The 24050-nt window shown below is 41.3% G+C and overlaps 5 annotated features.

The window, feature by feature from the left end:
• Positions 13022 to 14221: an enhancer, noted in NCBI's record as "MED14-independent group 3 enhancer chr1:66866019-66867218 (GRCh37/hg19 assembly coordinates)". NCBI's record gives its function as "activates an origin of replication core promoter dependent on BRD2, BRD4, P300/CBP and CDK7 cofactors, and independent of MED14, by STARR-seq in HCT116 cells {active_cell/tissue: HCT116}" and the evidence as "EXISTENCE:reporter gene assay evidence [ECO:0000049][PMID:35650434]".
• Positions 13051 to 13180: an enhancer, noted in NCBI's record as "active region_1163". NCBI's record gives its function as "activates an Ori minimal core promoter by ATAC-STARR-seq in GM12878 lymphoblastoid cells {active_cell/tissue: GM12878}" and the evidence as "EXISTENCE:reporter gene assay evidence [ECO:0000049][PMID:35858748]".
• Positions 13311 to 13360: an enhancer, noted in NCBI's record as "active region_1162". NCBI's record gives its function as "activates an Ori minimal core promoter by ATAC-STARR-seq in GM12878 lymphoblastoid cells {active_cell/tissue: GM12878}" and the evidence as "EXISTENCE:reporter gene assay evidence [ECO:0000049][PMID:35858748]".
• Positions 13451 to 13530: an enhancer, noted in NCBI's record as "active region_1161". NCBI's record gives its function as "activates an Ori minimal core promoter by ATAC-STARR-seq in GM12878 lymphoblastoid cells {active_cell/tissue: GM12878}" and the evidence as "EXISTENCE:reporter gene assay evidence [ECO:0000049][PMID:35858748]".
• Positions 17075 to 17254: an enhancer, noted in NCBI's record as "active region_1160". NCBI's record gives its function as "activates an Ori minimal core promoter by ATAC-STARR-seq in GM12878 lymphoblastoid cells {active_cell/tissue: GM12878}" and the evidence as "EXISTENCE:reporter gene assay evidence [ECO:0000049][PMID:35858748]".

Raw genomic sequence — 24050 nt, 5'->3', positions numbered from 1 at the left:
TCATTCTGAGAACAAAAGTAGAATTAGCTTAACTACTTACATCAGGAATAAAAGAGACTCAAGTGTTGTCAGCACACTTATCATCAGCTTCTGGTTCAAATCTAGGATAGTTCAACTCCTGATACAAAGCCAGTGCAGACACTTGCTCACTTTGGCTTGCAGCAGGGGTCCCAGCTTGGCAGTCTAAGTTGTACTCGTCATGGGACACAGACCCTTTCGAGCACATATGAAGAACAGGTGGGATGGGCCTCCAAAGGCACGTCCTCATGAACGATACTGCCTGAGCCAGAGTAAGTTCACATCTGGAATGGAGAGGTCACCATGTTCCAGAATTGTGCTTATATCATGAAGCCTTTGGTATCGGCAGTGACAGAAGACATCACCACTGCAATTCTGAAGAGGAACAGGGAAAACTCGGTGTCCAGGAACTCTGTTCAAGGGCCTATATGACATTGGCCACTCCCCGAGGATTCCCAGAACAAGCAAAAGAAGGGTTGGGGTGGGCTCTCATTATTGCAACAGCTGGCAGGAAAAGAGCCAGAGAAATAATGCTTTGTTACTGAGTTATTGAGACTCAAGCTGTTTTGGCCTGGAGAGATACTAATTACAGAATCTTTTTAGATAGAGTTGAATATTTAGATACACTCCTGACAGCTTCCATAAACACTAGAGTAAATTTCCCGGTAATGCAAAAGAAACCCTATGAAATCTGTCACTGTTGGAAACAAGTAAGTTGTGTACTGGAGAAGGGATATGTATTTCCAGTCATTGATCAGTCATTTGTGAAAATGTATTAAGAACTAATTACAAGCTTGCACCCTGCTTGGGGCAGATCTATTTATAGAAAAAATGTGGTTGTCATGGAAAACACAGATCACTATAGTCCCCCCACACCCAAACGAGGAGCTAAAAGCCCTCTGACCAAATTATTTTCTCTAGGCAAAAAGCCTAGGAGCTTTGAGACTGTTCTAAAACTAGGCTTGTGGTTTTATGTATTACCTTCTCATTCCAATTCTGAAATGTGCTTGCTATTTAATCAAGGCCCTTCTGATGAAGAGAAAGATAATGGTGTAAGCAGAGACAGCATACCCTTCAAGGTCCATGCTGCCTTCCTAGAGGGTGCAAATCCACCCTTGTCTTTGCATTTGACTTACCCTGGCTTAAGTGGCAGGTTGCAGAGAGAGCAAGGGGGTTGGAGGAGGGGTTATCTGAAACACCAGAAGTACTAGGGTGAGTTAATCATATATGTACACCTCTGTCTGGTTCACACTAATGCTTTTAACAGGCTCAGAATCCCAAGGACAGACAGCACAGACCAAAAACAATGGGCTTGCCTTTCCCTTGAAGTGCCTGCCCTCCTCAAATTCCAACTCTACTAGTTAATGTCTCTTTTACATTAAACAAATCCCTCAGAGCCCCCGTTACCTCCTATATTAAATGGGGATATCAGTTATTAGATTACAGAGTGGCTTATGATCAAATGAGAAAATGCCTGGGAAGAATTTTTGGTTTTCTTTTCAAATAGGAATTTATGGTACTTTGAGTTTCATGGGAGGAGGTTAGCACCCAGTTCAGGGCTATGTTGCATCTTATTCAGCTTTGAGTGCTCAGATTCTGGCATAATGCCTGGTTTAATGTAGGAGTTTAGTAAATGTTTGTTGTTGAAGAAATGACCAAGGGTTGTAATCACTTTGCCTGGAATCCCTTTGATACTTCATTCCAAGAATTGGCAGGGAAGTCCAGAGGTCATCTGATCTATGCCTCTGCTTCTGGTTGTACAGGAGACATAGTTTGGTATGGAATGAAAGCTGCTACAGGATATGAGTGTCTGTGGATCTCACAACTGATCCATAGAGGCTTGGGATAGAAGAAGCAATGGGACATGACACAGAGTGAGTCTGGCCTAGCTTCAGATAAAGCAGACTCTTTCTGCATAGGCAACATGAGGTCTATCCCCTTTAAAATAATTCTACTATCTTTATCTTCCTGTTGGCTTATGGGACAATTCTCTAGAAGGCCCCTGTTGAAAATATGCTTATGTTCTCAAACAGTGCTAGCTTACAAAGTCATGAGCAAATTCTTAGTAGGGGCCACTTTTGAGCTTTTGGCCAGGGAAGGAGGGATTAAGTGGAGCATATTTGGGGTTACAGCTCAGGACCATGAACAAGCTGGTGAGCTTCAGTGGATCCCAGACAAGAGGAGGACAACACAAAAACACCAGGAAGAATAGGACCCAGAAACAGAAGCTGTGAGATGTGCACATAAGGTAGATGTGGCAACTCCATCATTTTGACTCATCTTTTTTTATTATACTTTTAACTTCTGGGATACATGTGCAGAACTTGCAGTTTTGTTACATAGGTATACATGTGCCATGGTGGTTTGCTGCACCCATCAATCCATCATCTACATTAGGTATTTCTCCTAATGCTATCCCTCCCCTCGCCCCCACCCCCAACAGGCCCCCAATGTGTGATGTTCCTGTCCCTGTGCCCATGTGTTCTCATTGTTCAACTCCCACTTATGAGTGAGAACATATGGTGTTTGGTTATCTGTCCTTGTGATAGTTTGCTGAGAATGATGGTTTCCAGCTTCATCCATGTCCCTGCAAAGAACATGAACTCATTTCTTTTTTATGGCTGCATAGTATTCCATGGTGTATATATGCCACATTTTCTTTATCCAGTCTAACATTGATCATTGATGGGCATTTGGGTTGGTTCCAAGTCTTTGCTATTGTGAATAGTGTTGCAATAAACATACGTGTGCATGTGTCTTTATAGTAGAATGATTTATAATCCTTTGGGTATATACCCAGTAATGGGATTGCTGGCTCAAATGTATTTCTAGTTCTAGATCCTTGAGGAATCTCCACACTGCCTTCCACAATGGTTAAACTAATTTACACTCCCCCCAACAGTGTAAAAGCATTCCTATTTCACCACATCCTCTCCAGCATGTGTTGTTTCCTGACTTTTTAATGATAGCCATTCTAACTGGTGTGAGATGCTATCTCATTGTGGTTTTGATTTGCATTTCTCTAAGGACCAGTGATGATGAGCATTTTTTCATATGTCTGTTGGCTGCATAAATGTCTTCTTTTGAGAAGTGTCTGTTCATATCCTTTGCCCACTTTTTGATGTGGTTTTTTTTTTCTCATAAATTTGTTTAAGTTCTTTGTAGATTCTGGATATCAGCCCTTTGTCAGATGGGTAGATTGCAAAGATTTTCTCCCATTCTGTAGGTTGCCTGTTCACTCTGATGATAGTTTATTTTGCTGTGCAGAATCTCTTTAGTTTAATTAGATCTCATCTGTCTATTTTGGTTTTTGTTGCAATTGCTTTTGGTGTTTTAGTCATGAAGTCTTTGCCCATGCCTATGTCCTGAATGGTATTGCCTAGGTTTTCTTCTAGGGTTTTTATGGTGTTAGGTCTTATGTTTCAATCTTTAATCCATCTTGAGTTAATTTTTGTATAAGGTGTAAGGAAGGGGTCCAATTTCAGTTTTCTGCACATGGCTAGCCAGTTTTCCCAACACCATTTATTAAATAGGAAATCCTTTCCCCATTGCTTGTTTTTGTCAGGTTTGTCAAAGATCAGATGGTTGTAGATGTGTGCTGTTTTTTCTGAGGCCTCTGTTCTGTTCCATTGGTCTATGTATCTTTTTTTGGTACCAGTACCGTGCTGTTTTGGTTACTGTAGCCTTGTAGTATAGTTTGAAGTCAGGTAGCGTGATGCCTTCAGCTTTGTTCTTTTTGCTTGGGATTACCTTGGCTATATGGGCTCTTTTTTGGTTTCATATGAAATTTAAAGTAGTTTTTTCTAATTCTGTGAAGAAAGTCAATGGTAGCTTGATGGGGATAGCATTGAATCTATAAATTACTTTGGTCAGTATGGCCATTTTCACGATATTGACTCTTCTTATCCATGAGCATGGAACGTTTTTCCATTTGTTTGTGTCCTCTCTTATTTCTTTGAGAAGTGGTTTGTAGTTCTCCTTGAAGAGGTCCTTCACATCCCTTGTAAGTTGTATTCCTAGGTATTTTATTCTCTTTGTACCAATTGTGAATGGGAGTTTGCTCATGATTTTGCTCTCTCTTTGTCTATTATTGATGTATAGGAATGCCTGTGATTTCTGCACATTGATTTCATATCCTGAGACTTTGTTGAAGTTGCTTATCAGCTTAAGGAGTTTTTGGGCTGAGATGATGGGGTTTTGTAAATATACACTCATGTCATCTGCAAACAGAGATAATTTGACTTCCTACCTTCCTATTTGAATACCTTTATTTCTTTCTCTTACCTGATTGCCCTGGCCAGAACTTCTAACACCATGTTGAATAGGAGTGGTGAGAGAGGGCATCCTTCTCTTGTGCCAATTTTCAAAAGGAATGCTTTCAGCTTTTGCCCATTCAGTATGATATTGGCTGTGGTTTGTCATAAATAGCTTTTGTTATTTTGAGATATGTTCCATCAATACCTAGTTTTTTGAGTGTTTTATTGCAAGAAGGGGTGTTGAATTTTATTGAAGGCCTTTTCTGCATCTATTGAAATAATAATGTGGTTTTTGTCATTGGTTCTGCTTATGTGATGGATTACGTGTATTGATTTGTGTATGTTGAACCAGCCTTCCATCCCAGGGATGAAGCAGACTTGAACATGGTGGATAAGCTTTTTAATGTGCTGTTGGATTCAATTTACCAGTATTGCATTGAGGATTTTCGCATTGATGTTCATCAGGGATATTGACCTGAAATTTTCTTTTTGTGTTGTGTCTCTGCCATGTTTTGGTATCATGATGATGCTGGCCTCATCAAATGAGTTAGGGAGGAGTCCCTCTTTTTATATTGTTTGGGATAGTTTCAGAAGAAATTGTACCAGCTCCTCTTTGAGCCCCTGGTAGAATTCAGCTGTGAATCCATCCGGTCCTGGGCTTTTATTGGTTGGTAAGCTATTAATTACTGCCTCAATTTCAGAACTTGTTTTTGGTCTATTCAGGGATTCGACTTCTTCCTGGTTTAGTCTTTGGAGGGTGTATGTCCAGGAATGTATCAATTTCTTCTAGATTTTCTAGTTTATTTGTGTAGAGGTGTTTACAGTATTCTCTGATGGTAGTTTGTATTTCTGTGGGATCAGTGGTGATCTCCCCTTTATCGTTTTTTATTGTGTCTATTTGATTCTTCTCTCTTTTCTTCTTTATTAGTCTGGCTAGTGTTCTATTTTATTAACCTTTTCAAAAAACCAGCTGCTGGATTCATTGATTTTTTGAAGGGTTTTTCGTGTCTCTATCTCTTTCAGTTCTGCTCTGATCTTAGTTATTTCTTGTTTTCTGTGAGCTTTTGAGTTTGTTTGCTCTTGCTTCTCTAGTTCTTTTAATTGTGATGTTAGGGTGTCAATTTTAGATCTTTCCTGCTTTCTCCTGTGGGCATTTAGTGCTATAAATTTCCCTCTAAACACTGCTTTATCTGTGTCCCAGAGGTTCTGGTATGTTGTGTCTTTGTTCTCATTGGTTTCAAATAACTTATTTATTTCTGCCTTAATTTCATTACTAACCCAGTGGTCATTCAGGAGCAGTTTGCTCAGTTTCCATGTGGTTGTGCAGTTTTGAGTGAGTTTCTTAATTCTGAGTTCTAATTTGATTGAACTGTGGCCTGAGAGAGTGTTTGTTATGATTTCTGTTCTTTTGCATTTGCTGAGGAGTGTTTTACTTCCAATTATGTGGTCGATTTTAGAATAAATGCTATGTGGTGCTGAGAAGAATGTATATTCTGTTCATTTTTGGTGGACAGTTCTGTAGATGTCTATTAGGTCTACTTGGTCCAGCGCTGAGTTCAAGTCCTGAATATCCTTGTTAATTTTCTGACTCATTGATCTGTGCAATGTTGATAGTGGGGTGTTAAAGTCTCCCACTATTATTGTGTGGAAGTCTAAGTCTCTTTGTAGGTCTCTAAGAACTTGCTTTATGAATCTGGGTGCTCCTGTATGGGTACATGTATATTTAAGATAGTTAACTCTTCTTGTTGCATTGATCCCTTTACCATTATGTAATGCCCTTCTTTGTCTTTGTTGATCTTTGTTGGTTTAAAGTCTGTTCTTTGTTTGTTTGTTCTTAGATGGAGTATCGCTCTGTTGCCCAGGCTTGAGTGCAGTGGCGCAATCTCGGCTCACTGCAACCTCCACCTCCTGGGTTCAAGCGATTCTCCTGCCTCAGCCTCCTGAGTAGCTGGGACTACAGACGCGTGCCACTGCACCCTGCTAATTTTTTGTATTTTTAGTAGAGATGGGGTTTCACCATGTTAGGTAAGATAGTGTCAATCTCCTGACCTTGTGATCTGCCCGCCTCAGCCTCCCTAAGTGCTGGGATTACAGGCATGAGCCACCACGTCTGGCCTAATGTCTGTTTTATTAGAGACTAGGATTGCAACCCCTGCTTTTTTTTTTGCTTTCCACTTGCTTGGTAAATCTTCCCATTTTAACTAATTTTTAAGGTAATTATAATTTTTAAAGTACAGTTACATTAATTTTCTCATGTAACACAACTGAGGTAATCAAAAAAAGAGTGTTATTACCCCATAGTTTCAAGTGAGGAAACCGAGGTTTAGATCAGTTAAGTGATGTGTTTAACATTGCTCAGATATTATGCAGCAGAAGTGGTGCTAGAGTTTATTTCTTTGATTCTAATTGAATACCTGTTTAAAATTAAGTCCTGCTGCTTCTCTGAGGTAGACAACCTACCAACAAAACAATGACAGTAAAATAAAGATAATACTAGAAGCCCTCTGTTATGTTGCTATTGCTATGTAGCAGGACATTGTGTTAAATAACTAAGGAACACTTTGCCATTTATCATTTATCATGTGCACTTTACAGATGTGGGAAATGTGTCTTAGATGGGGTATATACCATCCTGTAATCTGACAATCAGCAAGACATGGAACACTGATGCAAATCCAGGTCTGTCTGCTGTCAAAATCTGGGAGTCCTCAGAAATCTTGCACTGGGGGATCTCTGGGTTGAAGGATCTTGCAGGTACTTTGGCATAATCATCAATATAAATCTTTCTCCAATGTCCCTATAAACGGTTTTCTAGGTCTTTGGCCTAGAGGAATCAATCTCCTTACTTCCTGGGGCAGCCTCTTCCATGGTTGAGATAGTTCTCATAGTTGTTATCACCAAAGGGAGAGAATATTATTCTTACAGCAACATACATAGAATATTTTCATAGGAAAATGCCTTGATAGTCTCACTTGAGGGAAATCTAAGGCCCTCAAGGCCTGGGAGTTGGTTGGTGACTCTTCAGAGAAAGGGACCAGGGGATTGCATTACTAAATTGCTGTTCCTGAGGGCTGGGAAAGGGCCAGAGAAAAAGAAAGGGGGAAAAGAGGGATGAAGAGTGAGATAAATGATGGCAAGCTGTGTGCTTCTCCATGAAACTCTTCTTTAACCACCATTTCCCCAAACAAACAAGCAAATAAAATGTCTGCAAAGTCTACAGAACCCTAAAACATTTGTTGGGCTTTTAATAGACCTCACCAAAGAAATCAAGATAGGGCTTGTAGACAAGGGAACTCCCTTATGATTGTAAAGCTCAGAGAATTGGCAAACAAGTCTGGGATTCAGGCTCATCTAGGTGGTGGAATTGGAGGCTGTGGTAACTCTAATTACATCTCATACATCTCATAGTCTAGAAGGCCTCAGTTGATGCTTGAGGTATAGTTGAAAGATTCTTTCCAGATCATTGCAGTGATGTATTTTTTTCAACTAGATTGTTCCAAATAGAGAAGAAAAAAATTAGTCCAGTAGACTCTTGACGTGCAAATGAGATACTATTTGAGATTTTCTTCAATTCTCATTTTTATGTAGATTACCATAGCCCATAGCCCATGATCTATTCATGAATCTGTAAAATGAGAGTAATAATACCTCCCCAACAGGCTCTTTGTGAAGATTAAAGGAAATCCTGTATTAAGTGGAGACAAAATACCATAGAAAGGTAGGTATCAGGCAATTAGCTGGGCTCATTCATTTGTCAAACTACCTGCTTCTCATTGTGCAATCCAAATTTGTGCCTCAGCAAAATTTGAAAATGGTGGCTTGACATGGCCTTTAGAAGTTAGCTTGAAAATAACTGAAATCTCAAATGTAAAATGTAAGAGCCAATGTCTGCCAATGTCAAGCAATGTATTCAGAATATCTTCCATATTCCCTGGGTTAGAAACCCCAGGTATTTTTTTTTCTTCCCTTTTTTTTTATTCCCTTTTTTTTTAATTTTTTTTATTTTTTTGCGATGGAGTCTTCCTCTGTTGCCCAGGCTGGAGTGCAGTGGCACAATCTTGGCTCACTGCAACCTCTGCCTCTTGGGTTCAAGCGAGTCTCCTGCTTTGGCTCTCGAGTAGCTGGAATTACAGGCACATGCCACCAAACCTGGCTGATTTTTGTATTTTTAGTAGAGACGGGATTTCACCATATTGGCCGGGCTGGTCTTGAACTCCTGACTTCAGGTGATCCACCCACCTCGGCCTCCCAAAGTACTGGGATTACAGGCATGAGCCACTGCATCCGGCCAGCCCCAGATCTTTGCATGTCAGCCCTCAGGTTCACACTGAAACAGATTAATGATGCCAGCTTTTTCTGACAGCTAATACTGATCTCATCTCAGGGGCCAAATTCTCCTTCCTACCAATTAATATCCAGGAGCAGGTAGTAACTACTGATTAGATCCCCACTCTTTGACTCTTGTGTCATCAACAGAGGTATGAAGAGATGTTGTTTAACATCATGGGAGAATCATGTTGAGGACTGAGGGAGGGGCTGGAATCAGAGATCAAAGCTTGGCTGGATGCCAGGTTTGTGGGCAAAGATCATCTTGTTTTGTCTCCCACAGGATTTTTGGGAGACTAAGAACTCCACTTGTTTGATTAGAGAATATGAATCTTCACAGCAGAGATAAGGAGTGAGATTGGTATCACACATAAGTTTGGAAATGATTGGGTGGTCCCAAACATACTGTAAGCATACATGGGCGAGCCAGAACTCGAGTTTGCACGTTTACACCATCTACGTGAGCCCCTGTACTTCCAGCATGGTGGATGATTGACTCTCTTTGGAAAGGGACCAGCTCAGGTCCCCTACCCCTCTGAAGATAAGACAGGGGAAGCAATGACAGGAGGGGAGAGGCCCAGAAATTGCATTCCCAAGACAGCCAGAAGGGATCAGCAGAATGGCTCGGAAATGTTGTTTCTTGCAGGAAAGACGTGGCATTATCTCAGAACCATCTGGTGGCAGCAGGAACAAGAAGGGGGAAGGAGGCTGTGAGCGGTGGTCACGTAGCCTTCTCTTACTGTTTGTAGACACCCACAATCCAGCTATTTCCTGACAGAAGCAGGTCAGCTAATAGCCTAGACTCAGGGAAGAATGGAATTTCAAGGAATAAGAGAAATAAACTGTAGGGTTTCTCTAGCAAGAAAACTTTGAGTCATGACTTAAAGCTTCCTGTACCATAGGCAAAGTCCCCAGATTCAGGGAACATGTAGGGTGCACTTGACATTTCGACATGAGATTAACCTGGATTTAAGTGGGCTGACTTTCTAGGAGTCTCAGAATAAGATGGCATTCGTGGTGTCCCCCAGGGCTTAATCTGGCCCACATATGCCTTTTGTTTAACACACATTCATGCTAACAGAATAGTTGGCTTAGTCCACAATTTTAAGACATCAAGGCATTTTGCATAAAATATAGATTTCTGGCTCCTCTTGAAGAATGGAAAAGCTGGCAATTCTGGGCCCATATTCTCACATACCAACATTTGGTTGGAGTTGAGTAGTCACTGCCTTAAGAAGGCAGAGAACAGCTGTCCCCTCCTTGCACTCCCCACCCATCCACTTAACTCAAAGCCCCTGGAGGCCTTTGTATTTGTGACTCTTCCTCTAGAATGCAACTGCCACAAAGGCAAGGAATGAGAGCATATGTCCTGAGTGGAGCTCTATCTCCAGTGCAGTTCTGCACAGTACTGGGTTGTGCGTAGGAACTTAATAAATGTTTGCTTAATAACAGAGAATGAATGAACCCAGCTTTGTCAAAGCAAAACAGATCTGCATTTAAATCCAGGCTACGTGATCTTGGGTCAGTGATTGCACTATCTAAACCTCTGTTTTTCTCATCTATAAAGTAGGAATCAAAATATTTGCCTCATAGGGTGGTACGAGAGAATGAATGCAAAGTGCTTAGCAGGACGCCAGCACATAGCGTGCACCCAATAAATATTTGCTGTATGCTTGAAAGAATGTTTAGTCACAGCGTTGTGATCCATGGGCCTTTGGCCGGATAAACTAGAAATTCATTTTATGAAGCCAGCATAAGAATGGTGGTGGACTAGTAAGGAATCACAAATGGTGACAAAAATAGCAGTTCTCATGGCAGTGAGGGATTGCTGGGCAGAGAATGGTGACTTGTTCCTCTCTTAAACTGTTGATGATTGGGGCGATAGCATAATTTACAATGGTAGAGAGAAGGCTCCTAGGTGAATTGTAGAGAGGAAGGTGTGGGTTGTAAGCACAGGCATTGGAGACAGACGGATGTTTAATATGTGCTAGACACTTTGCTAGGCTACTAAATTGTTTCCTCATTACAGAATAAGGGTGATAATACCTACTTTATGGGGTTCCCTCTGATTAGTTAATATATTAATTAATGTAACATACTTAACACACTGGCTGGCACAATAGGATATGCTTAGCAAAAAAATAGGTATATTGATATTAGAGGGAAAACATTTTGAGGTTTATGGTCCTCATTGCAATTCTAGTGTTTTTTGTTTTGTTTTTGTCTTTTTTGTTTTAATGCTCCCGGTTTCCATAGCAGTCCATACTGTTTTTTTATTCCATCACCTTGCTGTGTGACCCTGGGCCACCCGCTTTTCTTCTCTAGGCCTCTGTTTCCTAGAGAGTAAGAGAGTTTCCTTGTGCAGTGGATGCTGTGGTGTGCCACCTAAATCCCACCTTTAAAACAAAGGCATTCAGTGCCCCCAGTGGTTGCAAACATTGCCTGCTGATGGCCCATAAGTAAATTCCTCTTTGAAAATGGCTCTCTTTACCAAAGGTAACTGCCTTATCCAAGGTTACACACAACCTCTCCCTGGAAGCTGGTCTGTGCAGAGATACGAAGGTCAGAGAGGTTAATCTGAGACATCTCTAAAAGGCCAACCCAGATTCAGAACTCCCCCATGGGATCAGCTTAAACCTCTGTTTCATTCTATTCAACTCTCTCTGCCCAGTCCTGTTTCCCTTGGTCCCTTATAGATGTTCCCGAGAGCACTCTCCAAGAAACATCTGGCAAAAATCTCCCTCTATGAGTCTGTTTCCAGGAAACCTGACCAGTGGCATTTTGGGTAATTTCAGCTTCAGTCTGTCTGATCTCAAAATTATTTTGGTTTGTTGTATTTGGGTTAGGTTATAAGGAATTGAGATGCATTACAGAGGAAGATCAAGGATATCTTCCCGTGAAATCCTTAATACAGGCTCTTTAGAAAATTCTCTGATGAGGATCTTAAACTAATGTGAGAGTGGGGCTAATACTTTCAAGAAGGACATGAGGTTTTAAGCAAGTAGCAGATGTCATTTCGAGCTGCTGACAAAGGATTTTGGAGCTTGAGGCACACGTAGTACACAACTCTATTAGACATGACTTTCAAGGACCTACATGGAAACCTGGACATCAAGCCTGCAGGATAGATGTTGAAAACACTCAAGTTTTCTTCCCCAAAGTGCTGCATGCAGATTCTGCTGAGACTGTATCTTCTTGCCAGCAAGAAGCATAGACATTGGCAAATGCTGCCTCGATTTCAGGACTAGGAAATTATGAAAATCAGCTGGGATAGGGAGATCTGGTACTGTCCAAAAGCACCAGCTTTTGCTGGAAGTTTTCTCCCTGACAGCAGGCATTTCCGTGCTTGGAAGGGTGAGAAGAGCTTGCCTTTTACTGCAGAGATGTAGGGATATTGACCAAGGCAGGATGACCCCAGATGTTCCTTCAGTACCCTTCAGAAAGTGAATAGTGTGCTCAGTCCCTCAGAGTGTGGTAAGAGCTCCTCCAAAAACAGTGTGTGCAAAAGGAGTCACAGCTGCAGCTGGTGTTCGCACTGGTGTCCCTGGGGACCTGACACTTGGAGTCATGTGAGTCCTCTGTCTGGCTCAGAAGCAAAGCTGCAGAGCCAAGAAGCTAAATCCATTCTTCACAAATACTCCCATGAGGGGAGGATGCAAAGCAGCCAGGCTAGACTCATAGGAGGCCAGGATGTGGGGATGGTTTTAGGGTCTAAGCAGATGAGCAGAGAAGGAGTCCTTCTTGCAGGTCTAGGTAGAGAACATTTACCGGAAACTCCTGACATATACAGAGGGGTTAAGGATGTGTCTTACAGTCAGAAAATAGACACTTCCTTGGGCAAGGTATTTAACTCTTATGAATTTATATATTCTCCTTCTGTAAAGGGCATTGGCTTTATAAGTTGCTGTGAGGACTCAGTGAGGTCACATACTTGCAGCATGTAGCACAGGCCCTGAGCCTCAGCATGCACTCTGGAGTGATCACTGTCTTTATCTTCATTCTCCAAGGTGGCTGGAGGTGAGAGGTGCAGGCTGGAGCAGTGTGAGCTCTGGGTGCTTTTAGGACAGGTGTCCACCAGGACTCCATTTAGGAGATCCTGCCTGCAACACATAGCAACTTGTGCCTGGAATTGTTATTGTGTCCAGACTGGGTCATCCTCCTGCCTTTGAAGCCTGAATCACTGTCTTTGACAGAAAAGGATTATCTTTCCCTTCAAATATTCCTTAGTAGTTTATTCTAGTCTCTCTTGACTCCAGTGGACATCTAGTTTAAAATAGCAGAAGCGACTAGCGGAGTTATTTTTCTTCATTATTAATGGCATTATTGCAACAAATTTTGATTTATTGAGTGCCTATGTGCTATCTCATTTAATCTTCATTCTCACTACTGAGTGAGGCAGCTTCGTTACACAGAATGAGTTTAAGAAAAAAGAAAAAACGGGGTAGAAGCAACATAGTAGCCAATAAAGCTGGTTCATGAGTACATGTGGGATTCCACCTGGGGATTCCCAGAAATCACTGGAGCATACTCTACAGGACCATGGGTTTTTTTCATGTGGCAAGAGCAGCCACAGTACATGTTAGGAAGTCTTCTGAAATCTCCTAATCCAAGATTTTATAATTTGGTATAAAACATCTTCAATATCCTTCTCCACATCTCTGGGTCAGGATTTCCCTAAGCCAGAGAAAACAAACTTCAATTCTTACCTTTTAACACTCTCCTTGACATGGGAGTTCACCTCTTTAATTAAACCTTTAGGCCAGGCATGGTGGCTCACACCTGTAATACCAGTGTTTTGGCAGGCTGAGTCAGGAGGATCATTTGAAGCCAAGGGTTTGAGATCAGCCTGAAAAACACAGTGAGACCCCATCCCTACAAAAACAAAACAAAACAAAACAAAACAAAATTTGCCAGGCATGGTGGTGTGTGCCTGTAGTCCCAGCTACTCCGGAGGCTGAGGTTGGAGGATCACTTAAGCCTGGGAGGTAGAGACTGCAGTGAACCCTGACGGCACCACTGCACTCCAGTCTGGGTGACAGAGTGAGACCCTGCCTCTAAAACAAAACAAAACAAAACAAGACAAGACAAGACAAGACAAGACAAGACAAGACAAGACAAGACAAAACAGGCTTAGTCCAGGCATGGGGCTGTGAGGGAGAGAAATAGACTGATCTCAGGATTACTGAGAAACGTCTAGCACTACCTGTGAGAGTCAGAACCTCTTTGAGAGCATTTCTCAAAGCTTTCTTGTGGATTTCCCTCCTGATGCACTCCTTTTCCGTGAAATAAGTTAGAACCTTCCCAGATTTCCTTTGATTTGGAAAGGTCCCTAAACACAGGACCTGGCTTCTTTCCTTCCTTTTGTCCTCTTTTCCTTCCTTTCCCTTCCCTTCCCTTCCCTTCCTTTGCTTTCCTTTCCTTTTTCCTCCCCCTCCTCCTCCTCCTCCTCCTCGTTCTTCTTCCTCTACCATTCTCTATCTTTGTGCATTTGGGCAAATGACTCACCTTTCCAAACCTCAGTTTTTCTCTCTAAAATGTCTGAGGTAAATTCTAACATCCCTTTCAGTCCTAAAATCAAAGTTCACACTAACACTCAGAATAGTAAATAAGAACTTGGACACTGGAGTCAGGACTGGGTTTGAAGCCCAGGTTTGCAACTTACTGCATGATCTTAGGCTAGAAGGGCACATTCTTTGTACCTTCATTTCTCTAATATGGAGAGAATGCTGACCTACGGTGAGCAGGATTTGGTGTGATAAATGTATTGAGTGTGCATGTACCTAATTCTGCTCTAAGTTCTTTCTACGTGTTGACTCATTTCATTAGCAAAATACCTCTGTAACAAGACATTTTACTTTGTGAGTGTCTTTGCTCATTTTTCTGTCTTGTTGAAGGTTTTCATTTGTTTGCTCATTTCAGGCTTAATGTCATCATTTTCTAGTTTTGACTCATCTACAAACACAACACAAGGAGTTTTTCTGTCTTCATTCAATATGTTCCTTAAAAATATATTGTAAAGTCCATGGCCAAGAATAGAACATTAAGAAAATAGTGATTAAAACTTTGTATGTTAGAACACTAGAGAATTTTTGAAATATTCAAATGGCTGGACTCCATACCAGACAAAAAAAATCTAAATTTCTGAGTGTGGAGGCAGATATTGATGTGTTGTAAAAGTTTCCTTGTTTAACAGTTGACCAGGACTGCAAACCACTACTCTACATCCTGAATCTAGGGATTCCATCTAGACTAATTTGCCATTAATGAATTTGTGTAAGGTAGTTACAAACTACAATTATGCCTGTCTTATCATTGCAACCACATTTTTGCAATTACCCAGCTATCAAATCTCTCCCTAAAATCAGAATACATTATTTTTAGTATGTTCCTGTTCAGGCTACTCTAGTAACCCTAACAGACAAATGCTAGCTCCTGGTGAAGACTACTTTCATGACTAACTGTTTAGAAATACACTTTAGTGTTTTGCCAAAATTAATGGCACAGTTTTATCATTTCTGAAATTCAGCTTTTTTTGTAAAGGAGAAACTATTTCTAGTCTTCTATAATTTTACTCCATACTCTTCAAAGATTATAAAAATTGGCTCCCTCATCACACCTGCAAACTTTCTTAAAATTTTTTTTTTTTTGAGACAAAGTCTCGCTCTGTCACCCAGGCTGGAGTGCAGTGGTGCGATCTCGGCTCAGCGCAACCTCTGCCTCCCAGGTTCAAGCAATTCTTCTGCCTCAGCCTCCCATGTAGCTGGGACTACAAGCATGAGCAACCACACTCAGCCATTTTTTGTATTATTTGTAGAGACAGGGTTTCACTATATTGGCCAGGCTGGTCTCAAGCTCCTGACCTCGTGATCCGCCCATCTTGGCCTCCCAAAGTGCTGGGATTACAGATGGGAGCCACTGCCCCCAGCCAACTTTCTTAATTTTATGTGATATAATTTATTTGCAGCCTCAAGATTAAAGACTCTTAATGCTCTTTCCCTATTTCTTACCTATTTCAGGTTATAGTGATATATCAGTTATTCATTCAATCATTCATTCAATAAATGCTTGTTGAATATCAACTTTGTACCTGGCACTATGCCTGAAAAAGTTAAAACCCGGGAGTTATCTGAGACTCTGTTCACTAACACCTCTCTCTGATGAAATCCTCTTCACAAATCCTCTTAATCTTCAGCATCCCAACTGTCTCATCTCCTCAATGTGTGCAAGTCATCTAATGGTTTTCTAACAATTTCCTTTTTGCAGCTTAAAAATTTGGATGGACAGCTTACAAATTTGCTCAAGTGTCCAACATCTAGTATGTCTGTCTTTTGGTGCCACAGTTTAATAATCTCTTATACTACCGGGGTAAATGGGTAACTCATTTACCAAACCTGGTGAATGAATGCATGCAGAGCATACACCTGCCCTCTTGGTTGTTTTTGTAAAGGTCTATTGTGTAGCACTCATACTTAAAGATAACTTATGTTGAGAAAAGTTGAAATAAGTTGTCCTTTCTGTTTTTTCCTTCCCACTTACCCTAAGGTAGTTTCAACTTTAAATATTCTGCAATTATACTTCCAAATTCTCTTTATACATTAAGAAAGTTTATTATTATGAAGTCCATCATGTGCCTAATTGTTAAACATTTCAACTCCAATAATCCTCATAAAGTCCCTTGAAGATGGGTACTTCTATGTCTATTTTACAGCTTGGGAAGCTGAGATTCTGAGTTACTAAGTAAACTGCCCAAGTTCCAGCAGATACCAAGTGGCACAGCTGTGATTCAGACCTGGGGCAGTCTTATGACAGAGCCCCTTTGCTTTATGCAGCCACAGTTAGAACACCCAGCTTCAGTCTATTCCAGGTTTACATTGTTTGGTTTTGTTTTTTGAGACAGAGTCTCTCTGTCGCCCAGGCTGGAGTGCAGTGGCACGATCTCGGCTCACTGCAAACTCCACCTCCTGGGTTCAAGAATTCTTATGCCTCAGCCTCCCGAGTAGTTGGGACTATAGGCATGCGCCACCACACCTGGCTAATTTTTGTATTTTTTGTAAAGACAGGGTTTCACCATGTTGGCCAGGCTGGTCTCAAACTCCTGGCCTCAAGCAATCTGCCCCCCTCAGCCTCCCAAAGGGCTGGGATTATAGGCATGAGCCACTGTGCCTGGACAGGCCTATATTGTTAATGGATAATAGTATTCATTCCTACTGGATCCAGATATACCCACTGAGTCTCAACACATTATTCCCATAGCCATTAATTATCCTCAGAATTGGATGTAAGTTGAAGGCTGTTTGTCATACCTTCACAATATGATGGATACTAACCATATGTTAGTATATAATACAATGATATGATGTTGTGTTAATCATAACCTAAACAGATTACTTGCAATTTTACAGCCCTTGTAAAAAAATCTTAATTTTTTTTATCTGAATCCCTCCCCATCCTTTTAGAACAAAGACCGATTCTATATGATAACCAGTGTTCTGCATACTCTGGCCCCTTCCTGCCTTTCCAACCTCATCTTGAACTTCTTTAACCCATTTTTTCTGTGGTCTAGACACAGAGAGAATCTTTCAGTTCCTCAAATAGTCTATGCTCCTTCTGCCATAAAGCCTTTGCTCATGCTTTTCTTTCTGTCTGTGATATTTATCCTTTCCTTCTCTTCTTCCTTTAGACTTTTGCATGCTGTCTCTTGGGCCCTTGGCTAGATCAGACCAGACTACCATCTACCCCTTTAAATTCCATCCAGCTGTCTTTAATGGTGCTTATCATCATTAGTGAACATGCCATTCAGTGTGTCATTATTTAATCTTTGTGTCACTCCTCCATTAACCTTCTAACCCTCAGATCCAGCACATAGTAGGAAGACAATAAACAACAAATACAGATGAATGTCTTCAAATTCTGAATCAATTACAGGAGGCTCCTGAAATACCAGGTTCCTCTGTGCTTTGTGCATTTTAATTTTCAGTATTAATCACAATTAAATGTACAGAAGACTAGGTCAGGAAATAACTTATTTGTAAAATAAGGCAACGTTAGTAAGATGGCAGCCCTTCCCTCCCTGGTGGTCCTCTAGTCACATATATGTGTTTTCCAGCACATGCTTTCTTGTTGGGCTGCTTCGTTTCCATCCAGTGGCGTCGGACACCACGACAGAGGGAAAGGTAGAAGTGCTAGGGTCAGCCTGGGGTTTGTGTTCCAGCTCGAATACTCTGTAGCTGAGCAACATTAGTCACATTGCACATTATTTCTCAGTTTCCTCATCTGTTAAGTGCTTCACTCATAGGACTGTGGTAACACTCTAAATGAGTTATGAGTCTGAAGCACCCACCCGGCACAGAGTCTGATTTGTTGTCTGAGAATTATTTTCCTTCCCCTAGTGTACACTATATACCTGCTAAAACAACAGTGCATTTCTTAAATCAAGTTATATGATTAAAATAGCTGACACTATGTCATGTACATTGTTCTAAGATTTCCCCCATATTAACCCATTGAAAACTCACAAGAGCCCTGTGAAGCAAATACTGGTAATTTCAGCCTCATTTCATGCATGAGGAACTGAGATTCAGAATGATTAAGTAACTAGCCCACAGTCAGGCCAAAATTTAATCCCAGCTAGTCTGGTATGTTCTTATACTGCAACATGATCCTGTGTCTCAGCTGGAGAATTAGCAAGGAACGATGGGCAATGAAGAGCTGGTTTTGAAAAGAAAAATCTCTCCCAATTCTACTATTATCTGGGTGACCTTGGCCAATTCAATTCTCTCTTCTTTAAAATGGGGATACTATCCCCTGTCTCCCGTGTGGAAGCTGAATGAGATGGCAAATGTAAAACCCTTGTACACATTTGTCATTTGCCTGTGGCTAAGACAATTTCTCTTTCTTCTTATAGAAGTATAACCTTTAAGTTTTCTCACCAACAACCTGGCCAGGGTAACTTTGGCCTTTGGCCAGCTCTAGAGCTTCTCGAACAAAAATTGTTGACATTGAGCCCACACAAAGCTGGAAACTCCCAGAGGGATAACTGTGCAGGCTCTGACCCAGCAAGATTTCCCCTGAATTCTACAGAGTTTCAACACATCTGAAACTCTTAGAGAGTAAAGCCCAAAGCTCCGGAAACAGAGAGCCTGGAAAGGAGAAGAAGGAGCTCTACTCTTTTGAAAGAAGGGGAATCTTGGTGATTAAATTTCACAAATGTGGCTCCAGCCATACCGCCCCTGACCTTAAGAACTGTCATGAATGTCTCTCTAGGAAACACTCCTCACACACACACCACCCCAGCATCATCCAGAGTGACGATTGTTAAAAGAAAAAAAATTATCTGACATTGACGTTTGCATTGTCAGAGGCTCCCTGCTCTATAAAGGAGAAGTGTCTGCCCAAGGTGGCCTTACGGTAGATGTAGAGCCCTGGGGAGGGGCTTTGAGTCTGCAGCATGCTTCAACCCTCATCCACGAAAGGGAGAAAATCATGGCTACCTCCTATGGTTATTGTGAAGAGGAAATGCAATAATAAACGTTCAGAGGCTAGGACAAGGCCTAGCCCTTGGGAAGCACCCAATGAATGGCAGTTATCATTGTGGTTGTGTTGTAACAGCAGCTAGGCCACTTGCCCAAGATCACCCAGCAAAATAAGTAAAGAAATGAGAACTGTAACAAACATCTCATGGACTGGCAGTCCCAGCTCTTTCTGCCATATGAAGCAGCCTCTCCCCTGTGTGTCTAACCGTCAGCTTCTTACTTTGTGTGGTGAAAGGGCTAAACCATATTAGAGAGTGTTGTGGGATAAGCAGTGTAAAAATGCCTCCCGCAACTCTCCACTTCACTCCATCCTATGAGATCCTACACCATTAAAATTACTCCCAGCCCCTTATCCCTCTGGGTTCTCTGGACCCCTGAAAGTCTCCCTGAAGCCTCAGGAACTCCCTGTGGGATAAAGGCACATGTAGATTTTTAAAAATGGTGTTTTACTCCAAATTCTTATGTTTTGCTAGGTAGTGGGTTCCAGGTGTGACATCTCACTGTCAAAGGGATATCTGTGACCCACAATAGTCCCGAGCCCAGGGATGGTGGATCTGGCTGTGTCCTGGCCTGGGTCAGCTTTGCCAGTAAAACAAAGGCCATGTTCCCGGTCCGCGTGAGGCCTGAGGGGATGGGACCCTTGTTCCCGTGGCAGCAGGTGTACAGGGGCAGGTGGCACTAACAGGTTGTGGAGATTTGAGCTGGGGAAGGCAGTCTGGTTGGTGGACAGGCAGGAGTTTGGGGGTAGACAGAATTACTTGTTTGCCTTAAATTAGCTTGGGATATTACATAGGTGATTTTGCTTCTCTGAATTTCAACTTCTCTGCCCGTGAGAGATCTTAATGCCCTTCTTGTGGGGCCCATGGGAGAATTCAGAGGGTAGTTCATGTAAAGTGACCCAATATGTGGCTGTTCACATACCCGTTCCTCTTCTCTTGGAATACAAATACAAATAATGGATCTGGGTCCCCGGAAGATGAAAGAAGAAGATTAAAAAGTTAACAACAATCCTTCAGAATTATTAATGTTCTATGCAATAAATTGTTTTATTGTCTCAATAGCCATATGAAATAGAGACCATTATTATGCCCTTTTGACAGGGAAAGTGGAGAACACTGAGAGTTGGAGAGGATAAATGACTTGCCCATCACTATAGATGTGGCAGAGCTGGGACGTGAACACAGGCCTCTGTCTTCTAAGCTCACTGGCCACCGAAGCATGTCTGTCATCCATGAACAGAGCTGGCTGTGCTCAGTCAAGCAGTTGTTGTCCAGGCCTCCTTTCAGCATTTCTGGAGACTCCCTGCAGCTGATAACTCTTTTGAGCAAAGTTCTGCTGCTTCCTCTTTTGGTATGGCCTTGTTTCATCCTTTTCTTCTGAAACACAGATCCCCTATTAGCTGTCCACTCTGAGCCACATGAGGGGAATATGCAGCTGGGGCAGGGGAGATGGCCCTGGCCAGTTAGATCCTCCTGCACTATGTCCAGGCTGGCCTGAGCCTGGAGCTGGGGCTGTTGGCTGAATTTGGCTGCAGTCCATCAGGGATGTACTTCCATTTATCTGCTGGTCCAGTTTGCCCAATCCCCTATTGGTACATGGCTCCTCCTCTGTCAGGGCCTAGCCCCCGCTGTTCCCACCTGCCACTCCCTTCCATTTCCCACACCCTGCTGTTGACTTCCCATAGTCCTCCCTCGCATAGTCTTCAAGGCCTTTCACAATCCAGCCACATCAGATGTCAATCCTTCCTGCCCCCACACCCTACGTTGCTGAACTTCTCATCACACGGTATCAAAGCCCTGGGCCTTTGCACATGGTTCTTTTTGCTTGGCACGCCTGTACATTTCTGCCCTTTTTCAATGGCAGACTCCTTCAAGTCCTCCCAGACCAAGGCCACCATCTGCCACAACTCTACCGTTCACATTGTAATCTATGGAATGACCCCAGCACCACTGCTACTACTACTGACACCTACTTTTAGATAAAGGAGATCTGAGTGTTAGGGCAGGAGTGGAAAACCATGGTGTATTTGGATGTGAGGTGGGTAGAATTTGCAGATTCCCTCAATTCCTTCACCTCTCAAATAGGCATGCAGCCTTCCAGATTGAAAGGAACTCAGAATCTGCTCAGAGGTCTATGCAGGCGCGGGTTGGTCTCTTGGGCAGCAGGACTAAGGCCTGGTCATAGCTCTACTTTCTGGTCTTAACTTTTCAACAAGAATGGCCAGAACTTGAGATGAGTTGGAAAACTACCCTTAGCCTGCCGTGTCCCCAAGAACACTGGGGGCTGGTGGCTTCTCCCTCTGGGTGCCTGTAAAGGGATCCTTTGAAATAGGCTATCTTGGGGAGGCCTATTTGGCTGCACATTTGGGGAGGCACATTTACTCTGCTTGCAAATAGCATTTGGCCTTCGCCAACCATCTAGCTTTCTGATTCTCTGGTTTCTTTATGGGAAAAATGAGAAGGCAGGTCAGGTTTTTGTTAATGTTCTTTTCTAGAGTCGATATCCTATGAGCTGGTGATCAAGCCTTAAAAATTTTTAATTAATTTTTTTCCTGATTATAAAATAATGTATTCTAATTGTAGAAAATCTGGACAACATAACATGAAAAAGTGTAAAAAAAAAGCCAATCAAAAGCTTAGCTCTGAGAAAAAGTTAATATGTCAGGGATAATTTTTCTTTTTTCCTGTAGTATGTATTTGCATGCTCAAGTATTTATTTATTAAATATTTATTATACAGCTTTTAATAAATTTAAACCTAAATATAGCATTACGATGTATAATTATTATTCAAAATATTAGTTTAATAATATCACAGGATTCCATTATATAATTATTTTCATGTTGTTAGATACTAAGACTATTTTATGTTTTTTGCCATTGTTAATATTGTAATGACTATCTTATCTTAAACCTATGTGTACATTTAAATCATTTCCTCAGTTCTATTTAAAAATGGAATTAGTAAAGAATTGGCAGGATTTTTTTAGGTTTTTGATATATAATAGTCAAAAGACTTCAAAAGAGTGCACTGCTTGACACTTCTTCCAAAAGTGAGCATGTAGAGACTTGAGTTTTATTTATCACATATAGGGTTTGATTTTTTAAAAATAGTTTTATCAGTTTGAGAAATGGTAATCTGTTTTTATTTTAACTTGCATTTCTTTTGTTACTTATAAAGTTAACATTTTTCACACAAAATTGGCCATTTAGATTTCTTTTTAAATGAACCCTTTGTTCATGAGTTTCACTCATTTTTTTGTGTGTATAGTATTCATCTTTTCTTTCTTTCTTTCTTTCTTCTTTCTGTTTTTTGTTTTTGTTTTTGTTTTTTTTTGACAGGACATCACTCTGTCACCCATGCTAGAGTGTAGCAGCAAGGTCACAGCTCACTGTAGCCTAGAATTCCTGGGCTCAAGGGATCCTCCCATGTCAATCTCCTGAGTAGTTTGGACTAAAGGCATGCACCACCATACTTGGTTAATTTTTTTATTTTTAATTTTTTGAGAGACAGGGATCTTGCTATGTTGCTCAAGCTGGTCCCTAACGCCTGGCCTGAAGCAATCTTCCCACTCCAGCTTTTTGAATAGCTGGGATTAAAGGCACAAGCCACCGGACCTGGCATGTTTTCTTTTTCTTCTTGATTTAACAATCAAAATCAACCCTTATTGATTTTTGAGACATCTATTATACAAGGCCAATAATCATGATTCATACATGTGGCAAATATTTTCCACATGTATTATTTCCTTTAACTTGCTTACAGTGAGTTTTGATATAAAGATTTTAAATTTCATGGAGAAAAGATTTTTTACTCTATACTGTTCCTTCTTTTCATGCTTCGAAAAATCTGTCTCTATCTTGAGATCAGATGGTCTCATATACTTTCTTGTAATTCATTTCTATCTTTAATCAATTTCAATTTAAGTGACATATGAAAGGGGCAACTATTTTTCTCTAATAATTAATAAATAGCTCCACATTAGATCAATATTTATTCAGCCTTCCTTTCAAAAATCACTTACTACAAAGCCTCTAGTCCACATTAAAATCTTACACATAGGGAGCTCAGTTTATAGGCTATTTTGTTTCATGTGTCAATTTTCTTAGCCAGTAACATTATCCCTTTTCTTAAGCATTATAGTTCTGTAATAATTTTAGTTACCTGGAAGTTCACGTTTTATATTTTTTATTTTTATTTATTTTATTTTATTTTATTTTATTTTATTTTATTTTATTTTAAGACAGAGTCTCGCACTGTCGCCCAGGCTGGATTGCAGCGGCGTGATCTCGGCTCACTGCAAGCTCCGCCTCCAGCATTCACGCCATTCTCCTGCCTCAGCCTCCAGAGTAACTGGGGCTATAGGCACCTGCCACCACGCCCGGCTAATTTTTTGTATTTTTTAGTAGAGACAGGGTTTCACCATGTTAACCAGGATGGTCTCGATCTCCTGACCTCGTGATCCACCCCCCTCGGCCTCCCAAAGTGCTGGGATTACAGGCGTGAGCCACTGTGCCCGACCCATGTCATCTATTTTTTCTTTCAAAATGTATTCAGCTACTCTCTTGCTTTGACCTTTTCGATGAATTTTAAAATCAGGTTGTTACCATGGAATACTATGCAGCCATAAAAAAGAACAAAATCATATCCTTTGCAACAATATGGATGCAGCTGGAGACCATTATCCTAAATGAAGTAATGCAGGAGCAGAAAACCAAATACCTCATGTTCTCACTTATAAGTGGGCGCTAAGCATTGGGTACTCATGGACATAAAGATGGCAACAATAGACACTGGGGACTACCAGAGTTGGGAAGAAGAGAGGGTGGCAAGGGTTGAAGAACTATTGGGTTAGTACCCTGGGAAAGGGATCAATTGTACCCCAAACCTCAGCATCCCAATATACCCTTGTAACAAAC

The sequence above is a fragment of the Homo sapiens genome, chromosome 1 (genome assembly GCF_000001405.40).
Source record: "Homo sapiens chromosome 1, GRCh38.p14 Primary Assembly".
Classification (NCBI taxonomy): domain Eukaryota; kingdom Metazoa; phylum Chordata; class Mammalia; order Primates; family Hominidae; genus Homo; species Homo sapiens.
This window is presented reverse-complemented; position numbering and strand designations above follow the sequence as displayed.